Here is a 20,053-nt window from a genome sequence, read left to right as displayed (position 1 = left end):
GAGGGATAGCTTTAGGAGATATACCTAATGCTAAATGACGAGTTAATGGGTGCAGCACACCAGCATGGCACTTGTATGCATATGTAACTAACCTGCACATTGTGCACATGTACCCTAAAACTTAAAGTATAATAATAATAAAATAAAAGAAAAAAAAAAGAAAGAAAAAAAAGAAAATTATAGGAGTAAAGTGTTACTGTATTTTAAATAAAATGATATCTACAATTTTAAACTTGGAGTCACATAGTGGTGTAGCATGTAGAAGTGGAAATTCTATGAGATCCTGAGCACTTGCTCTGTTTTGTGCTGTGATCTACTTTCCCTGACATAATAAGATGTTGAATAAAAGGAGTGGGACCAAAGTGAAATATTTCCTTTTATGTTAGCTACAGATTTTCAGAAGATATTTAAAAGCTTTTAACATAAAAAATTGTTACAGATTTCTACATTTTCCTATTATTCTTTTTCATGATAGTGATTCATGGTATGTAATCTATAGCTAATGTCAGCACTTGTATTACTAGTAAATGAAGATTCAACAGTTTTGGAGTGTTAAGAAAGATTTGAGTTATGAATAGATAGGAGATGGTAATTGCATCAAGCATGTATTTTATAACATGAAAAAATGATAAAATGTAATGTGACATGGGGGAATATAGAGACATAATGACAGAAGAAATGTACAAGAGGAGACAGTTTATCAGGATAAAGGATACTTTTTCTCCCAGCATCTCTTGTTAACTGATTTCAATATCCTAAATAGTGTTTCTCAGAGTGTAGTCTCAGACTGCTTGCTCTCTTATGGTAAGACTGACTTACCTGGAGAGCCTGTTAAACATGCATATTCTTGAGTCTCACCTTCAAAACTAATGATTAAAGAGGCCTGGATTAAAGCCCAGAAATATACATTATTAATGAAATGCCATAAAAAGTAAGAACACTAAAATTTAAGAAACACTTTTTAAGTATTCTTTACTCATAGCTCAGAGATAGTGTGGGTTCAGTTCCAGACCACTACAATAAAGTGAATATTGCAATAAAGTGAATTACACAAAGTTTTTTGTTTCCCAGTGCATATAAACATTAGGTTTATACTGTCCTATAGTCTATTAAGTGTGCAATAGCATTGTGTCTAAAAAATGTACATACCTTAATTGAAAAATACTTTATTACTAAAATATGGTAATGATAATCTGAGCTTTTAACAAATCATCTTTTTTTTTTTTTTTTTTTTTTTTTGCTGGTGGAGGTTCTTGCCTCAGTATTGATGGCTGCTGACAGATTAGGGAGGTGGCTGTAGAAGGTTGGGGTGGTTGTCTTTTTCTTAAAATAAGACAGCAATGAAATTTGCCACATCAATTGACTCCTACCTTCATGAGAGATTTCTTTGTAGCATATGGTGCTATTTGATAGCATTTTATCCACAGTAGAACTTCTTTCAAAATTGGAGTCAATCTTCTCAAACCCTTCTGCTGCTTAATCAACTAAGTTTATGTAATATTCTAAATTCATTATTGTCAACACTCTTCACAGCATCTTCACCAGGAGTAGATTTCATCTCATGAAACTCCTTTCTTTCCTCATCCATAAGAAGTAACTCCTCATCTGTTCAAGTTTTATTATGATATTACAGCAATTTAGTCACGTATTCAGGTTCCACTTAGAATTCTAGTTTGCTTGCTGTTTCCATCACATCTGCAGTTACTTCCTCGAAGAAGTCTTGGACCCCTTAAAGTCATCCATGAGAGCTGGTTGGAATCAACTTTTTCCAAACTCCTGTTAATGTTGCTGTTTTGACCTCTTCCTATGAATCATGAATGTTCTTAATGATATCTAGAATGGTGAATCCTTTCCAGAAGGTTTTCAATTTACTTTCCCCAGATTTATTGGAAGAATAACTACCTATGGTAGCTGTAGCCCTAATGAAATGTATTTCTTAAATAATAAGACTTGAAAGTCAAAATTACTCCTTGATCCATGGGTTGCAGAATGAATATTGTTTTAGCAGGCATGAAAACAACATTAATCTCCTTTTATATCTCATTAGAGTTTCTTGGGTGGCCAGGTGCATTGTCAGTAAGCAGTCATGTTTTGAAAGGAGTCTTTGTTTCTGAGCAGCAGATCTCAACAGTGGGCTTAGAATGTTCAGTAAAACATGGTGTAAGCAGATGTATTGTCATCTGGGCTTTGTATTATTTATAGAGCACAGGCAGAGTAGACTCAGCATAATTTGTAAGGGCCCAAGGATTTTTTAAATGGCAAATGAGCATTGGCTTCAATTAAAGTCACCAGCTGCATTATCGCCTAACTGGAGAGTTGGCCTGTCCTTTGAAGCTTTGAAGCCTTGAAGCCAGGCATTGACTTCTCCTCTCTAGCTATGAATGTCGTGGATGATATCTTCTTCCAATAGAAGGTTGTTTCATCCTCATTGGGAAATGTGTTGTTCAGCCACTTTCATCAATAATCTTAGCTAGATCTTTTGGATAACTTGCTACAGCTTCTGCATCAGCATTTGCTGCTTTACCATGTACTTTTATGTGTAGAGATGGTTTCTTTCCCTAAATCTCATGAACCAATGTCTCCTACCTTCATAATTTTCTCCTACAGCTTTCTCACATGTCTCACCCTTCATATAATTGAAGAGAGTTAGGACCTTGCTCTGGATTAGTCTTTGGCTTAGGGGAATGTCATGGCTCGTTTGACTTTTTCTATCTAGACCACTCAAACGTTCTCCATCTCAGCAATAAGGCTGTTTCACCTTCTTGTCATTCGTGTGGGCACTGCAGTAGCACTTTCCATTTCCTTCAAGAACTTTTCCTTTGCATCCACAACTTGGCTAATTGCTTGGTGCAAGAGGCCTGGCTTTCAGGCTGTCTCAGTTTTTGACATGCCTTCCTCAACAAGCTTCATCATTTTTAGCTTTTTCCCTTGGATGCGTGGAGGTCATTGTAAGGTTATTAATTAGGGAATAGGAAAGCCTGAGGAGAGGGAGAGAGATGGGAGAATAGCCAGTCAGTGGAGCAGTCAGGACACACACAACATTTATCAATTAAGCTTGCTGACTTATGTGGGGGTGGTTCCTGGCACCCTAAAACAATTATGATAGTTACATCAAAGATCACTGATCACAGATCACCATAACAACTATAATCATATAATATAATCCTGTAATTCTAATATGATTATAATGAAAAAGTTTGAAATATTGTAAGAGTTTCCAAAATATGACACAGGGACACAAAGTAAGCAGATGCTGTTGGAAAAATGGCACTGACAGATTTGCTCAATGGAGGGTTGCCACAAACCTTCAATTTGTAAAAGCTGTCTTTGAAGTGCAGTAAAGTGAAGTTCAATTAAATGAGATATGCCTGTATCCATTGTATAATAGGAAGTGTTTTGTGTGGGGTACATCAGAGAATGAAGAAGAAGACAATCTCTGACTTTGTGAAACTTTTATTTCTAATAACAAATTATAATTTAAAACTAATGTTGATCTTCAAAGATCAGAAGTACTATGGGAAAGTAGATAGAACAGGGTATGTTAAATGGGGACTACCAGAGGTGAGGGTAGGATTACAATTTAAAATAATATAGTCAATGTAGATTTCCTGGAATATGTGTCACTTCAGCGGTATCCTGTGGGGTGGCCAAAAGTGGAAACAGAGAGAAAGAAGATTTAGAAAACTATTGCTGTCATCTAGGTGAGAAATTGATGGCAGTGTGGAACTGTTGATTGAAGATATGATGAGATTTGGTCAGAATATGGGTTTATTTTATAAATAAAGCCAATAGATATTCTGAAGGATTTGATATAAAGATGAGAGAAAGCAGAGTCATGGATGATTCCATGTTATCTCATCTGAGAAACTGGAAGGAAGTATTTGTCTCAATTAAAATTGAGATTGGGAAGACTGTGGGCAGAAGATGATTTCGTCAAGAAGAACAAGAGTTGAGTTTCAGACATATTAAGTCAAGATATCTATTGGAGATGCAAGCAGGATATTGATTAGGTAAGTGGATGGATAAAGGAGGAGGGGAGAATACTGGACTGGAGGTATATACATTTTGGAGTCATCAGCATGTAGGTAGAATTTAAAGCCATCAGCATGTAGATTAGATGAGATTACCAAAGGAAAAAGTATAAATAGAAATGATAAGAAAGTAGTATAAGAGGGCACTAGCAACGGAGGTTATGAAAGAGTGGATGAACAATTAGGTAGGACAGAAACCAGAAGAGTACTTTATATTAGCAGCCAACAAGAATACCAAAGAGGGAGGGATCAACACTGTCAAATGCTCATGACAGGCTCATTAAAACAAGGACCTAGCATTGATTACTGGATTTAGTAACCATGGATATATGATGACCTTAGCAAGAGCAATTTTGCTGACGTGGTGAGACAGAAATTGTGATTGAAGCATGAGAGGAGAGGACGTAGACACAAAGTACTGACAGCTCTTTTGAATTTTGCTGTGAAGAATGGAATAGCACATAACTAGAGAAGTAAGTGGGGTCAAGAGAAGAAATAACATGTTTGTATGCTGCTGGGAAGATCTAGTTAAGAAATAAAACTATATTCAGAAGAGAGAAGGAAAAATTGTTAGAGAAGTTAGTCTTTGCAAGAGCACAGGCAGTTTATTCATAACAGGAGAAAAGGCAGTCTGTGAGCGCAGATGGGTGAGGTAGGTAAATGTGTGACTTAGAGCTTGTAGAATTTCTCTTTTAATTACTTCGATTTTCTCTTTTTTGGTGAAATTAGGAAGAAAGATCGTCAACTGAAGGAGAATGGGAGAGGTCGTTAAACATTTAAGGAGAAAGAAGATAGGACATTGTGAAATGGATGGGGAGAGTGAATGGAGTGACTGCAAAGTAAAATAGAATTGCTTGGTATTCAAATCCTATTGGAGGTTGAGGTTTATAAATTTTGAGTGCAAATAGTCATTATGGCTGATGGGATTTTCTCCTGATACATGGAGCCTGCCACAGGCCTGCTGAGTACCTGCCTGTTCCTACTCCAGTGTGGGTATTTACTCTGGCTATTCCCTTTGCCTGGAATCCTCTTTTCCCATTAAACCTCCTCATGGCTTTGAAGACTTGGCTTAAATGCTGTCTTCATGAGACCTACCCTGACCACACTATTTAAAATAGAAAGTTCCTTGCCCTAGATTTCCTAACTTCCCTTAGGAAGTCTATCTTATTCTCTAACACTCATCACTTTCTCACATACTACATCATTTGTTGTTTCTTATTTCATGCTAAAACTCTCTTCCCCTACCTCCGCTACATGTTTAAGCATCACAAGGGCTTGGATTTTTGCCTGCTTCATTTATTCCTGTATTTCAGGTGTCTAGGAAAGTGCCTGGAATATAGCATATATATTCAGCGAAATATTCCCTGAATAATATAATTAGTTGATTCTTTTGGTCTGGTGATCATAAGGTTCAGCAGACTAAATTCTTTAGCACATTATTTAATGTCAATTGACATATCCTTGAAAGTAGTATTGTTGTCTTATTACTGTTATTTTAGGTTATTAGTTTTAATAGTACATTGCACTGAGTGGGCTCTTAATACTCTTCATAGTGTTTTCCTGTTCATGATACCATGGTAGTCTAATTTAGTATACTGGAGCCTGATAGTCATCTCATTACCTAATGGCATAAAAATAACAATTTATTTCTATTCTCCCACATACTTAATTTTCTTAGTTTGAGCTGACCTACCTTGCTTATTCCCACTTGTTGTAGGCAGTTTGTGTTTATATATAGCTACTAACTGAATGGCTTGCATTTAGCAGGTGTCTATAAATATCTGTTGATGTAATTTATTGTAACACTTCAGTGTAGTTTTCACTAACCTGTCAAGGTTTACTGAACATTTCTAAGAAGAAATATTTAAATTAGACTTATTAAATTTTTAGCCCGGAGCATTATATAAAAAGGCAAATTTTAAAGATTCATAAGAAATTAGTTTATTTTTGAAAGCAATTTTTTACTGTATTTATTTTTCCTTAAATTGCTGATTGATTTTTAAAACTATTTTTCTCTAGCTCTCAAGACTTGAATCTATTAGTTACCTCTTATCTTTGTACCTAAGAAGGGTTTCTAATGTGAGATAAATTTCTGAGCCATGGTAATGTTTCCTCCAGGCTGAAGAAGGAATTTGGGTGTGTAGATTTGTTTATTGTGTTGCTTCAGCACTTCTGCAGCTTTGCTTCAGTAACAGGACTGCCATGTTAACACAAAAAACAACACTGAATCTTGCTACTTCCTCAGCTCGGCAGAGAATTGCACCACTGCCTCATCTCTCTACCAGAATCTTTTTTATAAGGATTTAAAAAAGATCAAATATTTCTTTTAAAATGATACTAGAATCCTGAAATTCAGTTGTCATAGAGTTTTGATGGAGTGATTGCAATTAAATATTTATATAACATGTGTCTAGACCACTAAGGGAATTAGAACACTGATAATAGCATAACTTGTTTTAGGATTTTTAGATTCAATGCTGGAAATACACTGACTGGTAAATAATTAAAGAATTGTAAAAGGCATATGACTTATCTCTTAGAGGACATATACATTCCTACCAGTTTACTGGCAGCTATATTGAAGTGTAATCTGTGACTTTGATCAAAACATATTCTTTATATTTTTTGGAAAGAAGCCTCCTATGGAGTCTATTCTTTATATTACATATTTGAAACATTCATTTTATATTTAATTGTATTTAAAAAATGAATTTGAATAGTGAATGTTAATTTTCATTTAACAGTATTACTTACTGAAGTATATTTAAAGCAACAGATAATTTCTTTAAATTGACTCAGTGTCGTATTAGGTGGCTATTGGAAGATAAAAACACTTCTAAAAACCTTAGTGACATCAATATCAAAAAGAAGAGCCAGAAGCAGTTTTGCTGCTTGAAAATATTTATCTTGTAACCTGTCACAGTACTTTAAGATCATGTCATAAGCAAGGTTGAAAGGAAACCTGCAAACCTGAGTGCCCTCCAGTATAATGGACTGGACTAATTATTAATGATTTTATATATATATTATTTTGATGTAACAGACCCGTGATTGAAAACTAGAGCGTGGCCTCTGGTGTTATGTAACATGTATATTTGTTTTTGTCCACGGTTCCTGGCTCATAGCTCCTAAAATCCTTGTCATCTCCGAAAGCAAAAAGATCATGTCATAAAGATTAACAAAATCTGGTTCTTGCAATTGTTGATGATTTAGAGGGAATAATGTCATTGATCTTGAGAATTACATGTATTATTATTTAAATCAATTTTATCTATTTATAATTTATGAAATTATGGAATCCATACTATGGGATAATATCTATGAATTTTTGTAAGATTTCCAGTTATGTTATTTATGTTTTGGTGTGATTAACATGTTTAGATCTAGATTTTAATTTTTTTCTTTTGGAATAAAAAGAAAAATATTAAGATTTATATAAAAGCATCATCTTAAAGCAAATTCTTAAGTTCTTTTAAAAATCTACTTGCAACCTAATTTTATGTTATATCGATGTCACTTTTATTGTTATTAACAATGCTATTTGTCATTACTTATAATAATAAACTAATTCTTTCAAAGCTTATGTCTTCCAATTACCTGTAGATATGTGTTTACTAAATGAAATAGGTAACTGTTTATAAGGCAACATGTGATAGCACATTATAGAGTCACAGCTTTTCCAACAGAGATGATTTTTTATTAGTTCAAAATTATTTCTCTGCATCAGTAACTAAAAATTTTCTTATCTCTTTTACTTATTATGAAATGCTCCAGAGTTATTAAAGTGGTATAACCATGAACCAACTCCACTTGGGGGAAAAATAGCTGTTATTGAATAAAAATAGAAAAAGGTGTTTGAAAAACTGTTAAATTCAGCATTCTTCTCATTAATAACGCTTTTCAGTTTATTCCTGGATGTCTATTTATATGCATCTACATATAATATATGTATGTATATGCATGAAATCAATCTTTTGTTACAAGAACAAACATTTTCACTCATTGTGTACATTGGTGTCTGCCACTGACAGGATTGTTTGCAAAGTCAGTGATAACACATGTCATTTTACTGAGTGATTAATTTCTGTTGGCTCAAATCACAAGGTTAGTAAGACAGAGTAGTTACTCATACTCAAAAATGCATAATCAGTAAATAGTTTTGGGATTTATCGCTTTTTAGACTTGAACTGTTCCACTTATTTCTGAAATGGATGGATTATTTCCAGTAAACACAAAAATGAAAACCTTTTAGCAAGTCTTCTAGTCTTAATCTTTTAGAGCAAATTAAGTCCTTTAAAGGATGTCTTAGTTTGTTCTATTTGTCAGTAATGTATTACTTTCACTTTATCATTTTGCTTTCACTTTATTTTTAAAAAAATTATAACTAGTCCATCAAATGAGATCACTTTGATTTATAATACTGTGTTACAAATGTGTGCAAGTCAAATTTTGCATGCGTTTTAAACCACCTTATTTAAAAATTACCATTATGTATAGCAAAGATGCCAACATTATAAGTTCCTAGCTTTGACCTCAAGATAGAATGAAATGAATTAGTTCTATGCATTATAATTATTTGCCTTTAAAACTGGGTAGAAGTATATGAACTTCAGCATTGTTAAAGTGTACTTCCGTCTTTCCACAACATTTACTCAGTTCAAACTTTATGGCAGGTATTTTGCCAGGTATTGAAGATGCATACATGTGAAAGACAGTGATCCTTCCCTTGGGAAGCTCATAAAAATTGGACAGAGATAGAAAAGGTGGTGGTACTGGGGAAAGTGGACTTTATTATTTAGCATTTATTGGGTGTACACAATGCAGACACTTTATATTATTTTAATTAGCTCTTTGCAATACCGCATAAGGTATTTTTATTACTCCCATTTTACAGAAGGAGAAATAGTCTTAGAGGTGACAAGTGGCCCAAGATCATAAAACTAGTAAGTGGCCAAGTTGTGATGCAGGCCTTTGATACTCCACACTCCATGTTAATTTATACTATAGGAAACCTTTTGTATGCCAAGCATAATGAAGATGTGAAAATGGGTAATGTATGGTCCTTGTCCTCAAATAGTTCTAAGTTTTGTGAGAACAACTCATGCTCTAAAAAATCTAAGATTCCATTATTTTAGGCTATGTTTATTTAAACCTGTCTTACCACAGTTTTCACTCAAAAGCATTAGATGATGATAAAAGGATGATTAAACCACATTTTTCCATTAATAGTTGTTTCCATTCATTCATTATTTTAGACTCAGAGGTACATATGTAGGTTTGGTACATGGGTATGTTGCATGATGCTGAGGTTTGGGCTTCTAATAATCTCATATCCCAGATAATGAACATAGTACCCAATAAGTAGTTTTTCAACCTCTGCCCCACTCCCACCTTTCCCCACAATTTGGACTCTCCAGTGTTTATAGTTCCCATCTTTGTGTCCCTGTATACCCAATGTTTACTTCCCACTTTTAAGTGAAAACTTGCAATATTTGATTTTATTTCTGCATGAATTTGCTTAAGATAATGGCCTCCAGCATCATTTATTGGTTGCAAATGACATGATTTCATTCTTTTTTATGGCTGCAAAGTATTCCATGGTGTATATGTACCACATTTTCTTTATCCAGTCTGCTGGTAAAAGGCAGCTGGGTTGAATCCATGTCTTTGCTATGTCAATAGTGCCGGGATAAACATACAAATGCAAGTGTCTTTTTGGAGGAATTATTTATTTTCCTTTGGCTATATACCCAATATGGGGATTGCTGGATCGAATGGTAATTCTATTTTTAGTTCTTTGAGAAATGTCCAAGCTGCTTTTCACAGGGCCTGAACTAATTTGCACTCTCACCGACAGTGTATAAGTGTTCCCTTTCTCCACAAATTCGTTAACATCTGTTACTTTTTGACTTTTTAATAATAGTCATTCTGACTGCTGTGAGGTGGTATCTCATTGTGGTTTTGATTTGCATCTCTCTGATGATTAGTGATGTTGAGCATTCTTTCATATGTTTCTTGGCCACTTATATCTTCTTTTGAGCAGTGTCTGTTCATGTCCTTTGCCCAATTTTTAATGGAGTTACTTGTTTTTTTCTTGTTGGTTTAAGTTTCTTATAGATTCTGGATATTAGTCCTTTGTTGGATGCATAGTTTGCCAGTATTTTCTCCCATTCTGTAGGTTGTCTGTTTACTCCATTGATAGTTTCTTTTGCTGTGCAGAAGCTCTTTAGTTTAATTGGGCCCCAATTTTCAATTTTTGGTTTTGTTACATTTACTTTTGAAGACTTAGTCATAGGTTATTTGCCTAGGCAAGTGTCTGGAAAGGTATTTCCTAGGTTTTCTTCTAGGAAGAAAGGTTTTCTTCTAGGGAGAAAGGTTTTTAGTTTGAGGTCTTACATTTAAGTCTTTAATTCACCTTGAGTTAATTTTTTTTAATATATCTTGAGATGTAAGACTCCAGTTTCATTCTTCTGCATATGGTTAGCCAGTTTTCCTGGCACATATATTGAAAAGGGTGTCTTTCACCATTACTTATTTTTGTCAATTTTGTTAAAGATCAGTTGGTTGTAGGTGTGCAGCTTTATTTCAGGTGTCTCTATTCTGTTCCCTTGGTCTGGGTAAAGCACATTTTGAACATGAATCTGTTGATTCATTTTCTATTCTTTCTTAATTTTTTCTGTAAGAGATTTTTGAATCAAAGTCTTATAACTGGTGTGACTTACTGCTGTTAATTCTCTTCCCCACCCCCTCTTTTTTTTTTTTTTTTTTTTTGAGATGGAGTCTTGCCAGGCTGGAGTGCAATGGTGCAATCTTGGCTCATTGCAACCTCTACCTCCTGGGTTCAAGAGATTCTCCTGCCTCAGCCACTTGAGTAGCTGGGACTACAGGTGTGCGCCACCACGTCCAGCTAATATTTTTTGTATTTTTTAGTAGAGATGGAGTTTCACCATGTTGGCTAGGATGGTCTCGATCTCTTGACCTTGTGATCCCTCCACCTCGGCCTCCCAAAACGCTGGTATTACAGGCGTGAGCCACCACGCCCAGCCTATTAATTATCTTAAATTGCTGCTGAGGAATATTGTATTGTCCTATACAACTCATCTCAATTAGTTTTGTTCATTAACCGTTCAAACAGAAAACCAAGGAAGTATCTGAGTTTCTCTTTTTAAAGACCAGCTACTTTATTTTAGTTCAGGTAAAATTTAAATTTCTAGGGTAAAAAATGGTCAGGATTAGTTAGTTTTTGGATGCATCCAAAAGATGGAAGTTTTAATCCATCTTCAAGTCCTCCTTGCAAAAAGCATGTAAATCTTTCCTATGTTATCCCCTGCCTCTTAAGCAAGGAAGACTTAAAGATACCTCATCATAATTATGGATGGAGTAAACCACAACATATCAAATTCTAGGTGCCACAAATCAACAAAATAAAAGGTAACCAAGTGCTGCTAGTAATACGTGTGTGTGTGTGTGTGTGTGTGTGTGTGTGTGTGTGTGTGTGTGTGTATAATCATTGATTTTCACCTTGGGTTGGTCATATAAAAATACCCAGGATACTTTTCAAATGCAGCATTAATACTGTGAGATTCTGGTATGCTATGTATGTTGGAACAGGTGAGGACTGGAGCAGAACAGGCAATGGAAGATAGTCTCCAGGGTATCTGGATTTCTGCACTTCGAAAAAGATCTTCGGGTGCTTTTGATAGTTTCAGTTTCCCACTCCTCCAACCTCTTTTTTAAGAACACTGAAAAATATTGCCTAAAATAACCTCATGCATATCAAGTCAGTATGCATTTACCTCAACTGTATTTAACTTAATAATCATAATTCCTGTCATTCAGTGAGAATGTATGCCAGGAACTATGAAAGTTGTATTGATTTTATTGTAAATGGTTAAAATTATTTGGTGCTCTATTATGCTTTAGAATATAATAGGTTAGACAAGTAGTGTTTTATTTTACTGAATGAAGTTAATAAGCTGAAAACAGGTAATGTCTAACATCTCACAGATACTTGCTGTGTCACATTTCCTAGGTTAATCTAATTTGTTGTTTGCAGCAACACCGTGAGGCAGGTACTGGGTAAACAGGCCTGGCTGGGGAAGACAGAGCCCCATGGGTAAATGGCTTGGCAAGGCAACAGTACCTTTGTACAAACTCCTCTGTAGAGATTGTGCATTGAGCAACCTATCCAGAGCCTATGATCTTTACTACTGCATTTTGCTATTTTTTGCTAATAAGTTAGAGTTAGACTCTTTGCTGTACATTTGCAATTTAATTAATTAGCTGCTGTCTACTGAGCACCTGTTCTTTCCATTGTTTGAGAATTTTCTTGTGTGTGTGTATATATACACCATATATGTGTAATTTATACAAGAGTCTGTTATTAATGTTTTTGATGTAAGTAAAAATCTAACCTTATAAAATGAAAAATTAACATTTTATTGGATAACATTTTATTTGATACATTTTATTTGACACTTTTTAATTCTAGTTTATCGATGGTCGACTGGCAAAACTAAATGCAGGAAGGGGTTTCTCTGATGTATTTGAAGAAGAGATCACTTCAGGTGGCTTTTGTGGAGGTAAAGACAAGTTACAATATGATTATCCATTTTCTCAATAACAATTTTCTTGGTCTTTGCACTTGTGTCTGATAAAACCTATTTCATAAACAACTAATGATTTCCTCCTAAATATGTAATGTCTTAAATACATTTTTCATCTTATAAAAGCTATGGAATTAGCTTATTTTGCCTGATACCTGTTACTCAAGGCATTAAGTTGGCCTCCTGAATTGGCAGCTGTTGGCCTCGATAATCTCTTAATATTGCTGGAAATTAGTAATACAGAAATCCAATCAACTCATATCTTCCTGTCTTTCCTTCTGAATAGTAGTATTCTCTGCTAGAAAACTACTAGTGATGGTTATTACTGAGTATGAATTTAAGAACTGAGGTTATGATTGGTAATACAATCCAAAAAGAAGGGTCTGAACACCAAAATTCTTTATACATATTTAAGTAACTGTATTATTATTATACAGATGTCTTTACCTTTTTGACTTTATAGATCACTGCAGCATTAAGAAAGTTTCCAGTTTACCATTCCATAAGTACAATTAATCCTTCTAGTGTAAATGTTCAAATACTGTTATAATTATCTAGGCAATTAATAATTTACAAACTGATATTTTTGCACGATTGTAGTGGTGTATAGTCTTGACTTGCAGAGCATTTTGCTTGAGTCCTTGAAATGTCGTGTTCATTCATTATTTGCTGAGTGCTTACAATGTATTAGGCACTGTTCTAAATATTAAGTGTACTAAATAAACAAAAATCCTTGTATTCTGTATCTTAGTGTGTTAATTTTTGGCCTGGTATAATAGCAATTTTTTAAACTTCTTTGTATGTTTGTTTTGAGGAAAAAAAACTTCAGTCTATATGTAAATAAATAGATGCTGGAATTCAGAAATGACACATGAAAAGACAAAACGTAATAAGTACTCATCTACACATTTCACAAAATTTAACGTTATTTTTAAGATTCATTTTCCCACCATGAAAATATAGAAACCATTGAGATAATTGGTTCATTAAAGGAGGTACAAATGAACTCAGTAGTTGCGGACCTTTATCTGATGTAAGTGTAGCATTTCATTGAAAGCATTTAGCTTGGGGAAAAGTTAGTTTGCTTGACTCAGAAAGTAAGCTGAATGTGGAATCATTCAGCTCCTTGCTTCCTTCAGTTCATGGGTAAAAATTTAGCTTCAATGGAACTTTTGTGTTAAAATAACACTTTTTTACTTCTCAACTCAGACAAGCAAAATTTTGTCAGCCCATGGACAAGTTGCTTAAGGCATCTATTCGGTATTTACATAACTGCTGTCTCATTATCTTTATGACCCGTGGGGCTAGTAGCTTTTATAGAATTGAAGATGACATTTTGTGACAATAAGAGGCTAGAACTATGATCCTTTTGTACAGTTAAATTCTGTAGTCTTAACCATTGGTCCAGGTACCTCTGAATAGAGTAGAGATAGGTGGCTTTTCTGGTGGGAGGGCCCACTAAAATTTTTCACGAAAAGCCTTATTGTTTAAAAAAGATTAGGAGAATATGATTACCGATAAGTATCTGACTTAGAAACTGCTGCATTTTCAATACAACTTAATGCCCACTACTTTGTTGTTCTTTATTAAAATGAAAAGGTTTTGAACTCTTATTTTAATTTGAGAGAGCCAGTACTTATCTAAAAGGAAAGCCTAATTTGACAAATATTAATTCCAGTGAGTACAGCAAGAAAGTCCGTTAGAAATTTGTGCCTGTCAAGCATTATTTTTAAATTATTCTGTGTTATGTTATTTTATACATAGACTTTTTTTGTAGATGAAAATAAAGCAAAATGTGTTAGGATTTGAAATAAAAAGATGACTTATACAATAAAAATTAGCAGTGTTCTAACTATTAATTAGAAGATATCCATCTATCTAGGGGGTGTGTGTGTGTGTGTGTGTGTGTGTGTGTGTGTTTATAAAATGGTTCCTAGAGGTCAGTTCCAAACATACGTCATTCACATTACCCTTGTGAGAAAGAAGAATATATCGATGTCATGAAATTAACCTGTTCTTCAAAGAAGTAAACTGATCTAACTTTGTTGTTTATCTCATAATAATAGTAATATAATAATTGCTCATATTTATTGAGCACTAATATGTGGCAGAAACTTTCCCAGGAGCTCTACAAATATTATCTCATTTAACCCTCACAACACCCAAGGAGGTACTTCCTTTTTTTTTTTTAATTAAAGTTTTAGGGTACACGTGCACAACATGCAGGTTAGTTACATATGTATACATGTGCCATGTTGGTGTGCTGCACCCAGTAACTCGTCACTTAACATTAGGTATATCTCCAAATGCTATCCCTCCCCCCCCCCCTCACCCCACAACAGGCCCTGGTGTGTGATGTTCCCCTTCCTGTGTCCATGTGTTCTCATTGTTCAATTCCCACCTATGAGTGAGAACATGTGGTGTTTGGTTTTTTGTCCTTGTGATAGTTTGCTGAGAACGATGGTTTCCAGCTTCATCCATGTCCCTACAAAGGACATGAACTCATCATTTTTTATGGCTGCATAGTATTCCATGGTGTATATGTGCCACATTTTCTTAATCCAGCAAAGGAGGTACTTTCATTACCTCATTTTTATTGAGTATTCAGCTCAATAATTTACTCAAGGTCACACAGCCAGTAGTGGCCAGAGTCTCAATTCCACATGTGTCTATGTGGCTTCAAAGATATACTGTTTTTTATAGTAGATTTTCTTAATGCAAAAACATTCAGTAAACAAGAGTAATACTTAACCCTTTCCTACTCTGATTGAATCAAAGCAAAATTCTCATCTCTTTTGAATTTCTTGTAGATTTTTTACACATGAAGTCCTAGAAAGACCACTGTGGCAGAAATTAACATTAACTAAAGCTAAGAAAAAATTGTGTTCCTTTAAGCAACAATAATTAGGAAATTTGAGAGAAACATCTATTTTCTCCTCTTTATCATTGCAGTAGTAGTTTATACACTATTTTTGTTAATGCCGATGGTTATGATAAAATGAATATGAATATGATGGAGGTTTATCATTATTGTGGCTCTGATTAAAAATATACAGTGCAGGACAATCAGATAAGGAACATCTAGATTCACATTTGAATCTGGAACTGTATGGTTAAAGAATCTGTGAATACATGCATTTTTTCAAAAACTGCCTCTGCCCTGTGAGCCCTCATCAGGACTATTAAGGAAATCCACGTCATACCTTATTCCTTCATGAGACCCTTGCAAAATCTTCCACCTTAACTTAAAAGGAAAATTTTAACTTAACTTAAAAGGAATGTGTGAAGGGAAGAGTAACCATGGAGTTTAAAAGATAATAAAACAGGACAGGAGTAGAACAAAGGATGCATTTAAGTAAACACAGTGTTGGTCTGTGAAAAAGCAGGTAAGAAATATTGAGTAGTTAAGAACATATTCTTTCTTTAAATACTTTTTTTTCATTTAAAATAAAACTAGTTTTTACATTTACATCAACTTTAAACAGGAGAAATATTTTCAGATTCATTTTATGAGGAGTATGTGGTTACTCTCTATCACTAGCATGTGTTTCTTCCTTAGTTTACACATATAATCTGATGAGTCTTTTATTTGTTCATTTATTTATTTTTCCATTCTTATTTAGTTTTACTGACTAAGGTATCAAAGGAATTTGAAGACGTGGTAGGTAATATCAGTTTAGTGGCATTTTTCTGGCCTTGTTGAACAATTTAGACCAATTTACATTTTGAGATAAATGAGTACAAATTACTGGAATTTAAGCAAGTACATTTGAGGAGAAAGTCTTGGCATAAATGAGAAATAGATATTTTGTCCTTAAGTGTGAGAAAATCACTAGTTTTATTAACAAAAATAATGTTAAGAATTTCCTCAGTAATGCCTATTATTGCCATAATCCAGTTATTTTAAAAGAAGGATTCTGAGGGATTTCTTTAGCATTCAAATTAATTTTTAGAATAACAGCCTTTTTCTAACACTGCTAAAGAATAATGTACTTTTCTCATAAATATTGTGGAAATAGGAACCTTAAATCATAAAAGCAGTAAAATTTAAAGGCACAATTAGCCCTTAAAACTTTTAAAATAGGAATCTACCTAAATTGTACCATGTTTTCATAACATCGAAGCAAGGGACTTCTTCTTTGCCCCTATACTATGAAATTTTAGATTATTACCGGTAATTCTCTCTATTAACCTTCTTTTTCAGGGTATTAGCCTTGAGCAGCCCCTTTCCCTTTCAAATATAATTGCTTTGGGTGTGATACAGAGGAAACTCTGTATAACTTAAGTTTTAATCATATTTTATTTAGCAGTCTTAGAGGGAGTTTTTCAGAGTTGAAGGAATAATGAACCGGGGATTAAATTCCTAGATTCTTATTCTGTTTCAGTTGCTAGCCTTGAGAACATGGCTGAATAATACATCATCATAGAACCTCAGTTTTCTATTTTGGCAAATTATTTATAGTAATAACGATCATTTATGATATTTCTTCAATATACTATGTACCATACTAAACATTGTTTAATCGTTATCTTTCATCCTCACAATAATCCTGAAGGACAATGACTATTATGCTTATTTGATGAATGAAGAAGCTGATGCTCAGCCAAGTTAAGGACCTCATCCCAAATCACATCCTTCACAAAGATAGAGTAGGCCTGAGCTCTAAAGGTCCATTGGACTCCAAAGCCCACTTCCTTCTCATTGAACTGACTGCTTATGGCACTGTTTGCCTATTTTACAGTAGAAAAGTACAGTTCAAATAATGTAGATAAAAACATGCGATGACTTGTACAGAGCTGAAAATTAGCTTTTTTAAATTCCTCATAGTTCTAAATAAGACCCTAACCTTTCTACGATAGTTTGAAACTTTTATCATAGCTAGTTTCTTTGTGGTTCAGAGGTTTAAAAGAATTGTTTTCTGGATTGACAAAGGTTACAGAATGCTAAACTGGTGTTTGTTTCTTCTTCCACTTTCTTACATTCATTTTGGGAAAATAATTAAAACACTTTCCAGAATACTGTGAATAATAACAAAGTCTTAAATATGTGATTTCCACTCAGCCATTTTTAGTAGAGAAGTAAAAAGTATATGAACTGATGAGAGCTTTTTAATACAGAAACATATATGAATAATCTGGATGAATAAAGATCTGCAGGGTTTTTTTTGTTGTTGTTTAAAAAATCTCCTTGAGAAATAAATTGGTAGAATAACTTGGAATGTTTTATTATTTTACAAGGGAAATATACTTTTAAAAGTTTGGTCAAGCCAAATACCACCTGAAACTCACACCTTTTAAACAGGGCAACTTATTTTTACAAAGGTTATTTTAGGTAGTTACATTTTGCTGTAGTTATTTCACAAGTTAAGAAAAAAAATTTGTCTTCATGTTTCATCCTCCAGAAAAGGTGCAATGCTGTGTTCTGAGTAGTCAGAGATGTTTTTCAGAATAAAAATTGTTTTTTGATATTTCTTTTAAATTAGAGTAAGATTTTAAATACAGAAGTGAATCCAGAGCTGGACACTTCTTGCCTGATGTTGATTAGGGATGCAAAGATAACAGCTAGAAAGAAATTTTGGGGCTGAGATCATTTTGTCTCTATTTTGTAAGAGCAAGGTGATACATCTTTTAAAATCCACAGCCACAGAGTAGAGGAGAACAGTATGTTTTAGGGGTTCTTTGTATTGGATAGTGTCTGAGTAGCCACTGGGACTTTAAAAAAAAAAAAAAGAGATGGGGTCTTGCCCTGTCTCCCAGGCTGGAGTGCAGTGGCATAATCTTAGCACACTGCAACCTTGAACTCCTGGGCTCAAACAGTGCCCTGGCCACAGCCTTTCAAGTAGCTGGCACTATAGGTGGGAGCCACCACACCAGGCCTGGGATTTTGTTTTTTTATTGTGACTTTTTACCCCTGCGACTTAGGGAGTATTTAAGCTTTTAAACAAGAAGGTAGCTGAAATCTAACTGAGATCAGTTGATGGGAAAGATTAGGTAAGTTGTATATGTATTTCTTTTTTTACCTTCTGATATCATCTTATTGACTAAATTATTTATGAATTTGGAACCAGATATGTTGATCGCTGGATTTTATTAGAACTACTTTTCAACATTGCATATAAAATTTGCCTACTAAAAATTGTGCAAATACTAGTTCTTGATAAATTTTGGTTTACAGATTTATTTTTGATCAACCATTCCTGGCATCTCATTTTTATATATTCCAGGGAACCCGAGGTCATATCAACAATGGGTGCATACAGTCAAGGTAATCATAAGCTTTCAAATGTTATTCTTTCACTCTAATATAAATGGAGAAATGTTCAGCAAAAGTATGCTGTTTATACTTATGCTGTTTATTTGAAATATTTGAAATGTTTGTATATTTTGTCACATTTTAAATATTCTTATTTTACGTTTATAGTTTGTTGATACTCATTAAGATAATTTTTAAATGGAAAGTTTTGGTCCAAAGATAAATGGCTCATTTTGAAAAGCAAGATTTTACTGCCAAATGTTGTTTTTCTTATATTATTTTCCAGAAGAAGAAATTAGGTGGGGTAGAAGGATTTGATGGCAATTTTATAATTTGTGGTAATATAGTTTTGTTAATATGATTTTTAAATATGAAACTTTCTCCCCCAGACTGAGACTTTATTTGCCCGATATTAAAACAGCTGATAAACTTGTATTTCTTTCTTATTAAGCTTTAAATATATTCAAATTACTAGTCATATTGCTCAAGTCTACCTAAGCTTCAAGGAAGAAATGATTTTTAAGTGATGTATTATATCAACTAAAGAACAAGGTGGAAAGTGTACATTTTGTTTGAAATTATTAAAGTACATAGAAACTTGAAAACACTGAACACTGAACATGAAATAATTTGTATAGGTCTTTAAGTTGTGAGTAAAGCCCTTTTTTTAAATATGCAACTTACTGTAATACTTTGTTTTCAGGATATTTTAGCTAAAAGTTTTTGGAAATATGTTTCTGTTTTTCTTTTGCAGAAAGGAGGTGCACTGTTCAACACAGCAATGACCAAAGCAACCCCTGCTGTACGGACAGCATATAAATTTGTAAGTTTTTTTGATATTTAACAATCCTATTTATGAAATTATAAAACATTTTCCTAGGTGATAGACATATAAATTCTGAATATTTTCTATTTTTCTTTTAAATAAACCTAAAAAAAAATTAGGATTAATATTGACCAAAGCAAATTCAATTGTTAAAATTATAACATTGCATGCAGAGGGTAGTTTCTTTTATATAATCTAAAAATGGTTCTCATTTTATTCCAAAGCTATCGGCAAAGTTGTGCAGCAAATTGAAACAGTTATTGATGGGGTACCATTTTGTAAAATGTCATTATTTCATTTAACAACATTTTACATTCTTGCTGTGTACTTGCGGCTC

The 20,053-nt window shown here is 33.8% G+C and overlaps 1 protein-coding gene across 18 annotated transcripts in view; it reads left to right on the top strand.

The window, feature by feature from the left end:
- DENND1B (DENN domain containing 1B) overlaps positions 1 to 20,053 on the top strand; it is a 277,403-nt gene that overhangs the window by 216,516 nt on the left and 40,834 nt on the right. For 11 of the 18 annotated variants that reach the window (XM_011509248.3, XM_047447711.1, XM_005244931.3 and 8 more), the window contains 3 exons: positions 12,523 to 12,613; positions 18,862 to 18,902; positions 19,645 to 19,713. In XM_011509248.3, coding sequence (XP_011507550.1) covers positions 12,523 to 12,613; positions 18,862 to 18,902; positions 19,645 to 19,713 — 201 coding nt within the window. Of the gene's footprint in view, positions 1 to 4,760; positions 7,610 to 12,522; positions 13,376 to 18,861; positions 18,903 to 19,644; positions 19,714 to 20,053 lie in introns of those variants that run through there. The other 7 variants (XM_047447731.1, XM_047447730.1, XM_011509251.4 and 4 more) reach the window with 3 other exon arrangements.

Source organism: Homo sapiens, chromosome 1 (assembly GCF_000001405.40).
Source record: "Homo sapiens chromosome 1, GRCh38.p14 Primary Assembly".
Taxonomy (NCBI): Eukaryota; Metazoa; Chordata; class Mammalia; order Primates; family Hominidae; genus Homo; species Homo sapiens.
Note: the sequence above shows the minus strand (reverse complement) of the source record. Positions and strands in the feature narration are given on the sequence as shown.